General features: G+C 38.4%; 1 protein-coding gene across 4 annotated transcripts in view, besides 2 other annotated features; it reads left to right on the top strand.

Moving 5' to 3' along the window:
* KPNA1 (karyopherin subunit alpha 1) overlaps positions 1-15,148 on the top strand; it is a 93,038-nt gene that overhangs the window by 22,335 nt on the left and 55,555 nt on the right. The window lies entirely within an intron of this gene.
* Positions 9,374-9,433: an enhancer, noted in NCBI's record as "active region_20374". NCBI's record gives its function as "activates an Ori minimal core promoter by ATAC-STARR-seq in GM12878 lymphoblastoid cells {active_cell/tissue: GM12878}" and the evidence as "EXISTENCE:reporter gene assay evidence [ECO:0000049][PMID:35858748]".
* Positions 11,077-11,126: an enhancer, noted in NCBI's record as "active region_20373". NCBI's record gives its function as "activates an Ori minimal core promoter by ATAC-STARR-seq in GM12878 lymphoblastoid cells {active_cell/tissue: GM12878}" and the evidence as "EXISTENCE:reporter gene assay evidence [ECO:0000049][PMID:35858748]".

Genomic DNA, 15,148 nt, shown 5'->3' with positions numbered 1-15,148 from the left:
GAGACATGTAAGTGTAAAATTTACATTGGATGTTGAAGCTTCCATATGAAAAAATAATGAAATCTCAATTTTTATACTGAAATATTCTAGACATGGGTTAAATAAAATATTAAAATTAATTTTATCTTTTATTTCCTTTTTCAAATGGCTGCTAGAAATTTTTAAAATTTCATTTGTGGCTTTCATTATATTTCTGTAGGACAGTGCAGATACAAACCATGTTTCTATTTTATACCAAAATTTTGAGTTTGAATGATTTGGCCAAGATTACATAGCAGATAAGTAGAACCAAGATCTTCTCACATCTGAATTAGTGTTCTTTCTACAGGATTGTGCAGCATTAGGTCCACCTGATAAAAGTTGTACTGGCACGCTGTGACACAAATCTTGTGTTTGTTTTGCAGAGCAGGATTGGAAAGAAAGCATAGTTAAAATGTGATGGTCGGGCCGGGCACGGTGGCTCACGCCTGTAATCCCAGCACTTTGGGAGGCCGAGACGGGCGGATCACGAGGTCAGGAGATCGAGACCATCCTGGCTAACACGGTGAAACCCCGTCTCTACTAAAAATACAAAAATTAGCCGGGCATGGTGGCGCGCGCCTGTAGTCCCAGCTACACGGGAGGCTGAGGCAGGAGAATGGCGTGAACCCGGGAGGCGGAGCTTGCAGTGAGTCGAGATCGCGCCACTGCACTCCAGCCTGGGCGACAGAGCGAAACTCCGTCTCAAAAAAAAAAAAAAAAAAAAAAAAAAAAATGTGATGGTCAAAGCATTGCTTTGCATGCTTAGCTCACCTCTTATAACTAACGATTAAATGATATTGATTATAGCTATTTAGATACCGTGGTACATCTCTTATTCTGTATGACCTCTATTACCTTTTTGGGATTATTTCATTTAATGTCATTTTAAAGATTTTCACAGTTGTCCATCATGCTGAGACGTTTTCGCTTGAGTAGTTGCATAACTTGCATGTTTTCCAACCTTTTACTGCATTATAAATTGTCTTTGACAAATTTAATGTGTTAATCTCATTCTTCCACTTTTATCAAACCAGTGTTTGTGCTTCTTTTGGCTAGTAGTATTAGTTGCATGTTTGTCAGTTTGCCCTTTGATTTCACCTGTTTAACCAACGGCCGCTACAGTTTTTATCACTGCATTAATAACATTTAACATATCTTGAAAGTGGTTGTACATTTTAAAAATATTTTCTGTTGCTAATTTTTTTTCTAGCAGTTTTGAATACTGTTGACATAGCTTTGCTGTTCTAAGTCAAATATTGGACGAGCAGTCGTGTTTTTCATGACCTGTAGTACTTAAAGATCACTAACAGCATCCCGCTGTACCAAACTGCCTGTGCGTATAAACTGCAATACCAATAGATGTAATGTTAGTGACTGGGTATGATTTTGGAATCGTGTAAATGTTTTAAATAACTGTAAAACAAAATTAAAATGAGAGAAGAAATCCTCAAAAAGAAGGAAACAAGTGACCTGGTTTGTCATGCTTGTGGCTAAGCCACACAGAGAAGAATTATTTTAGTATACCTTTAAACTGTGGTAATTTGACTAATTTCCTCTGCTAGTTTATATCTTAAGGACAAAAAAGAAGTATAAATGAATCTTCACTTGCTTTTGGTAATCATATAAAATTGGTAGTTATGAAACTATATATACATTTGTATATGAATAAAGGAAATTCATATTTATATTAATATTAGAAACCTGATACTTTTAGTTTAAGAAAATAAGTAAATAAGAAAATTAAAGAAGTTAAGTAAGTTTGAATTGGTAATATCACTGGGAATTTATGATATATTTTCTTTAATAAAACAAAACACCAGCTCTGTCCTGAGAAGGCCTAGAAATAGCAAATTACCTTTTTGCAGTGAGCACTGGCATTCTGAGGTATTTAGAATTTTTTCTCAAAGGAACCAGGTTCCTTGCAAAAATAACTGGTTCTTGGTTAAAGATAGGGAATATTTTATAAAGCAAAGAAGTTTTCTGAGATCACTGGAGTTTTGTTGAAAAGACTCAGAGCCAACTTGAACTAGCTCCTAGCTCCCATTGGGTAAAAATAGGGTATTTTGAGTATCAGAAAAGGTTATAAAGACTTCTGCTTCTGGCCAAAATGGAGTATTAGGACCAGGATTTACCTTCCTACCTGAAGGAACCAGGAATAAACAGATAAAATACATGAAAACAGCAGTTCAAGACACTAGGCATTAGGCAGTGGAAGATAGTGATCTCTAAAGATGGGAAACAAATGAGATAAATCCTGTGATTATCTCAGCTTTCTAGTTGTAAACATAGAAAGAGGCGCTAAGGCAGAGCCCACAGCCTCGCTGCCTTGAGGCAGAGCTCAGAGTCTGTGAAGACCAGGCAAATAGAGTTTCGTAGGATGGAATATCAAAGAAGAGAGACCTGTATATTGAGTGAAGCCTGAAAATCTTCAAAGGCTTTCCTCAGATATTCAGCAGAATGCTGATTAGCACATGTGTTTGAGGAAACTACCCAAGGTTAGAGAAAATATCATTTTAAAGGATTAGACGGAACAGTGCCTGGTACTTACACAGGGCTGGAAACAGTGCCTATCCCTCTAGCTGGACTGGAGAAACTCATAATTCATGAGGGATTAGGTAGAGTATTCAGGAGAGCCTTGCCTCAGTAGTGGAGATTAATGAGCTGTATACTTAGTACTGCTCCATACTTAACCTGACAAATGAAAACAAGGTCCAAAAGGATCAAACAGTTTCCATATAACTTAGCTGTATACCGAAATGGAGCTCAAGAATGTTTATAGGAATACGAAAATATCCAGTACACGAGGTAAAATTGACATTGTCTGGCATCCAAAGATTGTGACGTATACAAAAAAGCAGGAAAACACAACTGTAATGGGGAGAATGATCAGTTGAAACTGACTCGACTGATAAAGATGTTAGAGTTATCAGGTAATAAAATATAAATGGTTATTATAACCATACCATATTCCATGTGTTCAAAAAGTTAGAGACATGGAAGATAAAAAAAGACTCTGCCAGGCATGGTGGTTCACACCTATAATCCCAGTGCTTTGGGAGGCTGAGGTGGGAGGATCGCTTGAGCCCAGGAGCAACATAACGAGTCTACCAAAAGATAAATAAATAAAAAACTTAGCCAGGCTTAGTGGCGCACGCTATAGTCCTAAGTCCCAAGGTTGAGGTGGGAGGATGGCTTGAGCCCAGGAGTTTGAGGCTTCATTGAGCTATGACTGTGCCACTGTGCTCCAGCCTGAGTGACAGAGTGAGACCCTCTTAAAAAAAAAACAAACAAAAAAAAACAAACAAAGTAAAAAGGTATAAAAAGACTCAATTTGAACTCCTGGAGATAAAAACTGTGATGTCCAAGATGAGAAATTCCCAAATGGGATTGATTGCAAATTAAAAATTGCAGAAGAAAAGATTAGTGAACTCTGGGCATAGGAATAGAAACCATCAAGAATGAAAAAGAGGTAAAATAACCCACCCCCGCCCTGCCCTGACACACACACACACACACACACACACACGCACGCAAAAAAACCCACAAGCGAGTTATGGGACAACTTCAAGAAAGCTAAATACAGGCAATTGGAGTCCGTAAAGGAAAAGAGAGGGTGGAAGAGAAAAAATATTTAAAGAAGTAATGGCCGAAAACCTTTTATAATGAAGAACTGTAAATCCACTGATTGAAGGAACTAAGTGAATCCCCATCACAAGAAAGATGAAGAAAACTACGTCATGGCATATCATAGCCAAACTGCTCAAACCCAAACTTAAAAGGAAACTCTTAAAAACGCCCAGAGTAAAGACATGTTACCTGCAGAGGAACAGAGATAAGGATGACATCACAGTTCTCGTTGTAAACAATACAAGCCAGAAGACAGTGGAGAATCGTTTAAGGAAACTGTCAACTAAAGAATTCTTCACCCCCAGACGTTGCACTGAGACAGAAGTAAAATAATGTCCTGGATTACTTGAGCAAATCCCAGCTATCAAATTATTTTATCTGTAAATACTTCAATATGTATCTCTACAGAATAAAGATTCTTTTTTTCTTTTCTGGAGACAGAGTCTCATTCTGTTGCCCATGCAGGCTAGAGTGTAGTGGTGTGATTACAACTCACTATAGCCTCAACCTCCCAGACTCAAAGTGATTCACCTCAGCCTCCCTGGTAGCTGAGGCTGCAGGCACGCACCACTACATCTGGCTGATTAAAAAATTTTCTTGTAGAGATGGGGTCTCACTATGTTGCCCAGGCTGGTCTCAAACTCCTGGCCTCAAGCAATCCTCCTGCCTTGGCTTCCCAAAGTGCTGGCATTACAGGAGTGAGCCACTGTGCCCAGTCCCGGATAAAGATTTTTAAACTTAAAAATCATCAAAGAGCGCAGTCAGCTTTTCACCTCAAATTTTAGCAGTCTTCCATGGTCCCTTCCTAGATCCATTACTTTTATAGGAGTTACGGGGATCATTTCTTCTGCTTTTATTAGCTGGAAGGTCATTCAGAATAGTGTTATCATACTTTAAAAAGTTAGTTTTTTAATATTAAGCATCTAGTCAACATTCAGATTTTCTACATTGTCACAAAATCTTATGTTTGTTTCTTAGAGTCAGAAACTAAGTCATACATTGTATTTGGTGCTGTCTCTTAACTGTTTTAAAAAATTTTTATTAATAATTGGTGAAAAAATTTTTCCTCTTACTCATTTTTAAGTGTACAGTTCAGTAGTGTTAACAATATTCACATTGTTATATAACATATATCTAGAACTTTTTCATCTTGCAGAATTGAAATTCTATGCCACATTAAACAAGTATTCCTCATTTCTCCTTTCCCAGCTTCTGATAACTGGCATTCTACTTTCTGTTTCCATGATTTTGATTTCTCTAGATATCTCATATAAGTAGACTCGTACAATATTTGTCCTCTTGTAACTGACTTATTTCACTCAGCATAATGACTTCAAGGTTCATCTGTATTGTAGCTTGTGACAGGATCCCTTTTTCTTTAAGGCTGAATAATATTCCATTGTATGTATTACCACATTTTCCTTATTCATCTGTTGATGGACATTTGGGCTGCTTCCACCTCCTGGCCCATGTGAATAATGCTGCAATGAGCATGAGAGTGCAAATATCTCTTTTGATATTCTGTTTTGAATTCTTTTGGACATATACACGTAAGTGGGATGTCTAGATCATAATGATAATTTCATTTTTAATATTTCAAGAGCCTCCCTACTGTTTTTCATAGTGGGTACACGTTTTATTTTATGGTAGTTTTGATTTCCATTTGTCTAATGATAAGTGATGTTGAGCATCTTTTCATATGCTTGTTGGCATTTGTATGTCTTTGGAGAAATGTCTGGTGTTTTGCCTATTTTTTAATTTGGTTACTTGACTAATCCTTACATTCTGGTTTTGTCAGCCTGATCTGTCATTATAAAGAGGCCCGACAGCTTTTTACCTCAAGTTTTAGCAGTCTTTGATGGTCCCTGCCTAGATCCATTACTTTTATAGAGGTTACAGTGATCATTCCTTCTGCTTTTATTCGCTGGAAGGTCACTCAAAAGAAGACCTTTCCCTTAGCTACAGTTCACACAGGACAGAGAAATGCTTGATTCTCTTCCTGTATTTGTTTTCAGAATAATGAGTTGGTTTCTTAGCATCCTCCAAAGGGATGAAATAGTGTGTGCTTTAATATCATTAAGAATGTACAGAATTGTAATCCCAGCACTTTGGGAGGCTGAGGCGGGCGGATCACGAGGTCAGGAGATCAAGACCATCCTGGCTAACATTGGTGAAACCCCGACTCTACTAAAAATATAAAAAATTAGCCGGGCGTGGTGGCGGTGCCTGTAGTCCCAGCTACTTGGGAGGCTGAGGCAGGAGAATGGCGTGAACCTGGGAGGTGGAGCTTGCAGTGAGCTGAGATCGCGCCACTGCACTCCAGCCTGGGCGACAGAGCGAGACTCCGTCTCAAAAAAAAAAAAGAATGCACAGACTTTAACATAGATACTTTCAAAAATAGGTTTATGACAGTCTGGTTGACAGTCTGTGAAAACCATCACCATAGTTAAGTTGTGAACATATTCATCTCACCCAGAGGTTTCCTAGTGCACCTTTTTAGTACATTTTTCTCTACCTCTTTCCTCTGATCTATTTTCTGTTACTACTGATTAGTTACCATAAATGGAATTATGCAACGTGTATTCTTTTTCTTTCTAGTTTCACACAGTTTAATCATTTTGGTATTCACTTATTGTTTTGTGTATGAATTGTTCATTCCATTTTATAATTGAATAGTATTCTTTTGTATGGATAAACAACAACTGGTTTATCCATTCACTTGTTGATGGAAATTTGGATTATTTCCAGTTTTTGGTGATTACAAATAAAATTGTTAGGAACACTCGTGGACAGCTTTTTGTGTGGATATAACTTTTCTTTTCCCTCAGGTAAGTGTCTAGAAGTGATATGGCTGGGTTGTATAGCTGGTGTATACTTAGGAGCTGTCAACTGTTTGCCAAAATAGGTTGTACTATTTTACCTTCCCATGAGCAGTGTACAAGAGTTTGAGTTGCTGCACATCATTGTTAACATTTGGTATGGTCAGTCTTTTCTATTTCAGCTATTCTGAGGAGTATGTAGAAGTACTCCATGATGGTTTCAGTTTTCATTCACCTAATAAATAAAGTTGTAAGCATCTTTTCTTTTTTAAAAAAGTTTATTTTTAATTGGCAAATAATAATTATGTATATTTATCATCTTATATACTTCTTTGTGGTGCGAACATTTAATATTCACTCTTTCAGCAATTTTGACTTATGTAATACATTATTATTAACTGTAGTCACTATGCTATACGATAGATCACCAGTGAGCATCTTTTCATCGGCTTATTTGCTGTGTATCTACTTTAGTGAAGTCTGTTAAAAAAAAAATTCCTTTCCAGTTAAATTTTTTAACTGAGTCGATTGTCTTCTAGATATGTCTTTTGCTAGATACGTGTTTTACACATATTTTCTCCCAGTCAGTGGCTTGCCTTTTCATTTACAAAAGTAACATTTTAAAGAACAAGCATGTATATCTGATGTGAGGTACATGTTAAGGGTTCTTTTTTTTTTTTTTGGCATATGGCTATCCAGTCGTTCAGGTGCCATTTATTGTAAAGATTATTTCCCCCATTGAATTTCCTTGGAAACACTTACCGTTGACCATATCTGTATAGGTCTGTTTCTGGACCTCTACTTTGTTCTATTGGTCTATTTATCTAGCTTAAATACCATGCTGGCTGGTAACTGTAGCCTTAAGATTAGTTTCAAATCAGGTAGTGTTAGAGCTCCAACTTTTTCTTTTTCAAAATTGTTTTGGTCTGGGTGCAGTGACTCATGCCTGTAATCTCAGCACTTTGGGAGGCCGAGGCGGGAAGATTGCTTAAGCACAGGAGTTTGAGACCAGCCTGGGTAAGGTGGCGAGACACCATCTCTACAGAAAGAACAAAACAACAACAACAGCAACAACAACAAAACTAATTAGCATGCACCTATAGTCCCAGATACTCAAGAGGCCGAGGTAGAAGGATTGCTTGAGCCCAGAAATTCGAGGCAGCAATGAGGTATGATTGTGCCCCTGCACTCCAGCCTGGGCGTCAAAGCGAGATCTCATCCCTTAAAAAAAGTAAAACGTTGTTTTGGTTATTGTAGGTCCTTCACATTTATATGAACTTTAGAATCAGCTATTCAGTTTGTACATGAAAGCCTGCTGGGAATTTGATTGGGATTATGTTGAATCTATAAATCAGTTTGGAGAATTGATACTGTTAACAATCTTGAGTCCTCTGACCCATGAGCACAGTATCTTCATTTATTTATGTCATCTTTCTTTCTTCCTTTCCTTTGCTTTCCTTTATTTTATTTATTTTTTTTATTATTATTTTTTTTTGAGACGGAGTCTCACTCTGTCTCCCAGGCTGGAGTGCAGTGGTGTGATCTCAGCTCACTGCAACTTCTGCTTCCCTTGCTCAAACAATTCTGCTTCAGCCTCTCAAGCAGCTGGGATTATAGGCGCCCACCACCATGCCAGCTAATTTTTGAATTTTTAGTAGAGATGAGGTTTCACCATATTGGCCAGGCTGGTCTTAGGTGATCTGCCTGCCTCGGCCTCCCAAAGTGCTGGAATTACAGGCGTGAGCCACTGTGCCCGGTCATGTTTATTTTTTATAATTGAGATTTTATTGGTTGTGTTGAGGATTAGTATACAGACATTTCAGTTTGTACACAGTTCTTATGTACTAAAAATCTAAAAAGCTGTGTATTGTAATTCTTTTTTAAACAGTTATTCCAGTGAGTTTCCAGCTTAAAATCTGGAGGCAAATTTTTAAGAGGCTGTCCAGTACCAGTATCTTAAAATGTTAAGTTACTGCATACATCCCACCAATTCACAGTTTAATAGCATATATACTACATATTCAAATTTTCAATCTTTTGCAGTACATTAACAAAGTTATTAGGAAAACAGCACTACCATGACTGAAGATTTTACAGAGTATGCACAATTCTGATAGGGAGAGCCATGATCAAGGAGTGGTTTTCTTTAGGAAACAATTCTGCTAAAAAATAACATAGGAATAGAAGTAATTTAAAATATTCAAGACATTAAATGCAGGACTGTGATTCCATATTGCCATTTTGTATACTTTGTATTGTAGGATATAAAAACTAATCCCTCATCTATGGAATGTCAGAGCCTCCCATAATTCAGTATCCCACACTATTTTCTGGTTGTACCAAAAAATAAACAACCAGCAAATGATTTCACCTCTTAAGAAAAGCATTTACACTTAAAAAATGGGATGAGGTGGGATTCCCTCCTTTTAAAAATGTTTCTAGAGCTACTAGAAAACTTATATTTACAAAATAGTTTATGAAAATATTCCTCTAGGCTGGGCACGGTGGCTCACACCTGTAATCCCAGCACTTTGGGAGGCTGAGGCGGGTGGATCAGCTGAGGTCAGGAGTTCAAGACCAGCCTGGCCAATATGTTGAAGCCCCGTTTCTACTAAAAATACAAAAATTAGCCAGGTGTGGTAGTGGGCGCCTGTAATCCCAGCTACTTGTGAGGCTGAAGCAGAAGGATTGCTTGAACCTGGGAGGTGGAGGTTGTAGTGAGCCTAGACCATACCGTTGTACTCCAGCCTCGGCAACAAGAGTGAAACTCCAATTTAAAAAAAACAAAACAAAACAACAACAATGAAAAAACCAGAAAATTCCTGTGGATAGTACAAGAAGGGAAACAGGAATGACTCATAAGACAAGGTATGTGATATTAATCACACTTGGCTTTTTTTTCCTCTGGCTTTCTCAGTTTAGTTTCTCTGTTTTCTGTAGGTAGGTAAATCTTTAGTTTCTTGGTTTGCCACTGCGATGTATTTTCTCTGCTTTCCTTTTCACTTTTGTTTTGTCTGAAGATGTATCCTTTCCTGCTGCCTTTTTTGGTTTCCTGTCCACTTTTGTAGGAGCAGAGTTAGCTGAGAACTGTGCTGGGTCTCCACCTGGGCTCTTCCTTCACTATCCCTTCAGCTGAGCTGACCTTCCTTCCTCTTTGATATTTTGGTGGTGGAGAGGCGCGAGAGCCTTGGTGAAGCTAGGCTGCCTAGCTATTGCTGTCCTGTCCCGTCCCATCCCGTCCCATCCCGTCCTCCCCAGTCTCTACCAGCTACTGAGACCTGCTGCGGGGGTTAGGTCATCTTTACATTCTCTTAGCAATTTGTAGTTTTTGGTGTATAGGTCTTACAGATTTTTATCTTTTGTCAGATTTTTCCCTAAGTATTTCATTTTTATTGATGCTGTTGTAATTGTTATTTTTTAGATTTCAGTTGTTCATTGTTAATATGTAGAAATGCAATTTAATTTTGTATATTGATCTCCTAAAGCTTGCTGAACTCACTTGTTAGTTCTAGTCCCTTTGTTATAGATTCCATTGGGTTTTTTACATAGGCAATCATGTCATCTACAGATAAAAGTTTCCTTATTTTCCATTCTTATCTGGATGACTTTTATTTCTTTAACTTGTTTGGTTGTACTGACTAGAACTTAATGGTGCAGTGTTGAATGAAAATAATAAAAACAGACCTATCTGTTTTATTTCTGACCTTAGATGAAAAGTAGTGGGTCTTTCATTACCTGTGATGTTAATGACAGGTTTTTCATATATAGTCATGTACTATATAACTATGTTTCCATCAGCTATGGAGCACATATATGATGTGGTCCCATAAGATTATAATTACCATATTTTTACTGTACCTTTTCTATGTTTTGATATGCAAATTTTTACCTTTGGGTTAAAATCGCCTCCAGTGTTCAGTACAGTAACGTGCTGTACAAGTTTGTAGCCTAGGAGCAATAGGGCATATCATATCGCCTAGGCGTGTAGTAGCTATTCCATCTAGGTTTGTGTAACTACAATCTGTGATGTTCACATGATGATGAAGTCGTGTGATGTATTTCTCAGACTCTTGTTAAGTGATGCATGTGTGTATTTTATGAGATTAAGGAAGTTCTCTCTCTTTTTAAAAAGTTTTTATTTCTATGTATGTTCTTATACAGTATGCTAAAGAAAAACTTTTTTAGGAGAGTTTCTTTAAAACCTTAAAAAAAAATTTCATTGAGCCCAAAATGTCATATGACGTTAAGGAAGTTCTCTTCTGTTCCTAGTTGAATAGATATATAAATGTTTAGAGTTCTTACATCTTCTTGATGAATTGACTCCTTGATCATTATGAAATTACCTACTTTCTGATATATTATTTATCTTGAACCAACTTGTCTGACATTACAATACAGTCACTCCAGCTTTCTGTTAGCTAGCATTGGCTTTAAAACAGTTTCATTGAGATATAATTCACACGCTGTACAATTCACCCACTTGAAGTGTGTAATTCAGTGGTTTTTAGTATATTCATAGAGTTCCAGTACTTCACCACAACCAATTTTAGAACATTTTAGTCACCCGCTAAAAAACCCCTTATGCCCATTAGCAGTCACTCTCCATTCCCTCTGCTCCCCGCTTAGGACCCCTCAACCCTTATCTACTTTCTGTCTCTATAGATTTGCCTATTCTGGACATTTCATATAAGTGGAATCATACAGTATATGTGGTCTTTTGTGATTGGTTTCTTTAACTTAGTAGAGTGTGTTAAAGATTGATCCATGTTGTAACATGTATTGGTACTTCATTCCCTTTTCTCACTAAATATTCCATTGTGCAGATATACCACTTTTTGTTTATTGACTCAGTTGTTGGACATTTGGATTAACTTTTTTACTATTGTGAATAATGCTTCTGTGAACACATACAAGTTTTTGTGTGGATGTATGTTTTTATTTCTATGTATGTACTATACGGTATGCTAAGTACGGCACTTAGTACAGTATACTGAGAGTGGAATTGCTGGGTTATGTGGTAAATCTACATTTAATATTTTGTGGAACTGCCAACCTGTTTTCTACAAAAGCTGTACCATTTTACATTTTTATTAGCAATGTTTGAAGGCTTCAGTTTCTCCACCTTCTTGGAACACTTGTTATCTTTTTTGAGGCAGGGTCTCCCTCTATTGCCTAGGCTGGAGTGCAGTGGTGCCATTATGGTTCACTGCAGCTTTGAGCTCCCAGGGTCAAGTGATCCTTCCACCTCATCCTCCCAAGTAGCTAGGACTACAGGCACACGCCACCATGCCTAGCTAATTTTTTATTATTTTTTGTAGACACAGAGTCTCACTGTATTGTCCAGGCTGGTCTCGAACTCCTGGCCTCAAGTGATCCTCCTGCTTCAGCCTCCCAAAGCACTAGGGTTGCAGGTGTGAGGCACTGTGCCTGGCCTCAATGGTTTTTTTAAAATACTTTTTTTTTTTTAAATGAGAAAAGTTTAAAAAAAATTGTACCACATTATTACTGTTTCCGATGGTCTTTATTCCTTTTTGTAGATCTGTATTTCATCTGGTGTTAGTTTCCTTCTATCTAAGGAACATCCTTTAACATTTTCTTATAGGACTGGTCTGTTATGATGAATTCATTCAGTTTGTATGTGTCTGAAAAAAGTTTATTTCACTATTTTTATAAAGACCTTAATTAATTTTTTTTTTTTAGCAGTTTTTGGTTCCCCTCAAAACTGAACAGATAGTACAGAGATTTCTTATATGCTCTCTGCCCCCACACATGCATAGCCTCCGGCATTGTCAGCATCCCCCATGGAGTGATACATTTGCTATAATTAATGAACCTACATTGACACATCGTCACCCAAAGTCTATAGTTTATATTAAGATTCATTCCTGGTGTTGTGCATTCTGTGGGTTTGATATCACACAGAGTAGATTCCCTGTGCTAAAATTCTGTGCTCCACCTATTTGTCCCTCCTTTCCCCAACCTCCTACAACAACTACTAATCTTTTTACTGTCTCCATAGTTTTGCCTTTTCCAGAATGTCATATAGTTGGAATCATACAATGTGTATGCCTTTTCAGATTGGCCTCTTTCACTTAATAATATGTATTATTTAATGTTCTTCCATGTCTTTCCACGGCTTCATAGCTCATTTCTTTTTAATGCTGAATAATATTCCATTGTCTGGATGCACCATAGTTTATCCATTTACCTGCTGAAAGACATCTGGATTGCTTCTGAGTTTTGACAGTTATGGATAAAACTCCTATATACATTTGTGGGAAGGATTTTGTATAGATATAAGCTTTCAGGTTTTTTTGATGAATACAAAGGAGTATTGTTGCTGATCCTATGGAAGAGTTAATTTTTGTTGTTGTTGTTGAGACAGAGTCTTGTTCTGTCGCCTAGGCTAGAGTGCAGTGGCATGATTTCGGTTCACTGCAGCCTCTGCCTCCTTGGTTCAAGTGATTCTCCTGCCTCAGCCTCCCGAGTAGCTGGGATTACAGGCGCCTACCACCACTCCCGGCTAATTTTTGTATTTTTAGTAGAGACAGGGTTTCACCATGTTGCTCAGGCTGGTCTTGAACTCCTGACCTCAGGTGATCCACCTGCCTCGGCCTCCCAAAGTGCTGGGATTACAGGCATGAGCCACTGTGCCTGGCTGAGTATGTTTAATTTTGTAACAGACTGCTAAACTGTCTTCCAAAGTGGCTGTACCATTTTGCCTTTTCTGCCGGCAATGAATATGAGTTCCTGTTCCACAGCCTTGCCAGCATTTGGTGTTAGCAGTGGTTTTGGATTTTGGCCATTCTGATAGGTAGGTAGTGGTATCTCATTTAGTTTGCGTTTCCCTGATAACATATAATATGGGTTACCTCTTCATATGCTTGTTTGCCATCTGTATATCTTCTTTAGTGAAGTGTCTATAAAGGTCTTTGGCCCATTTTTAAGTGGGTTGTTTGTTTTCCTGTTAAGTTTTTTATATATTTTGGCTACCAGTCTTTCATTAGATATTTTGCAGATATTTCTTCCCAGTCTGTGGCTTGTCTTTTCATTCTCTTGGTAGCGTCTTTCACAGAGCAGAATGTTTTAATTTTAACGAAGTTGAGCTTATCAGTTATTTCATGGATCATGCCTGTGGTGTTGTATCTAAAATATCATTACCAATCCTAGGAACTCTAGCGTTTCCCCTGTATTACCTTTTAGGAGTTTTTTAGTTCTTTTTTTTTTTTTTTTTTTTTTTTTTGAGACGAGGTTTTGCTCTTGTTGCCCAGGCTGGAGAGCAATGGCACAATCTTGGCTCATTGCAACCTCCGCCTCCTGGATTCAAGCGATTCTCCTGCCTCAGCTCCAGAGTAGCTGGGATTACAAGTGCCTTCTATCATGCCTGGCTAATTTTTTTTTTTTTTTTTTTAGATGAAGCCTCGCTGTGTAGCCGAGGCTGGAGTGCAGTGGCGCGATCTTGGCTCACTGCAACTTCCGCCTCCTGGGTCCCAGTTCAAGCAATTCTCCTGCCTCAGCCTCCTGAGTAGCTGGGATTACAGACATGTGCCAACATGTCCAGCTAATTTTTGTATTTTTAGTAGAGATGGGGTTTCCCCATGTTGTCCAGGCTGGTGGTCTTGAACTCCTGACCTGCCCACCTCAGTCTCCCCAAGTGCTGCGATTAAATTTTTGTATTAATAGAGATGGGGTTTCACCATGTTGGTCAGGCTGGTCTTGAACTCCTGACCTCAGGTGATCCACCCACCTCAGCCTCCCAAAGTGCTGGGATTACAGGTGTGAGCCAATGCGCGTGGCCTAGTTTTTTATTACATTTAGGTCTGTGATTCCTTTTGGGTTAATTTTTGTGAACGAAGGATGTAAGACCTGTGGTTTAGATTTGTTTTTTTGCCTGTGTGTGCCCAGTTGTTCCAGCACCATTTCCTCTCTTTGGACCCTTTTTTCTTTTTCTTTTTCTTTTCTTTTTTTTTTTTTTTTGAGACAGCATCTCGCTCTGTTGCCAGGCTGGAGTGCAGTGGTGCCATCTTGGCTTACTGCAACCTCCAACTCCCTGGTTCAAGTAATTCTCCTGCCTCAGCCTCCCAAGTAGCTGGCATTAGAGGCACGTGCCACCACGCCCAGCTAATTTTTGTATTTTTATTAGAGACGGGGTTTCACCATGTTGGCCAGGATGGTCTCAATCTCCTGACATCATGATCCCCCCGCCTTGACCACCCAAAGTGCTGGGATTTCAGGCATGAGCCATTGCACGCAGCCTGGACATTTTTTTTTTTTTTTGATACAGATATTTCAAATGGCAAATAAAATTTTATATATTTATGGTGTACAACATGATGTTTTGAAATATGTATATATTGTGGAATGGCTAAATCAAGCAAATTAATATACAGATCATCTCATATACCTATCATTTTGTGTTAAGCACACTTCTACAGTCTCAGCAGGATTTGTTTTTTTGAGACAAGGTCTTACTCTGTCGCCCAGGCTGGAGTGCAGTGGTGTGATTGTGGGTCACCGTAGCCTGGAGCTCCCACCTTAGCCTTTTGAGTAGCTGGGACTACAGGCCAGTGCCACCCTGCCCAGCTAATTTTTTGCTTTTTTGTAGAGGCAGGGTCTTGCTGTGTTGCCCAGGTGAGTCTTGAACTCCTGGTCTCAAATGATCCTCCGTCCTCAGCCTTCCA

Source organism: Homo sapiens, chromosome 3 (assembly GCF_000001405.40).
Source record: "Homo sapiens chromosome 3, GRCh38.p14 Primary Assembly".
Lineage (NCBI taxonomy): Eukaryota > Metazoa > Chordata > Mammalia > Primates > Hominidae > Homo > Homo sapiens.
This window is presented reverse-complemented; position numbering and strand designations above follow the sequence as displayed.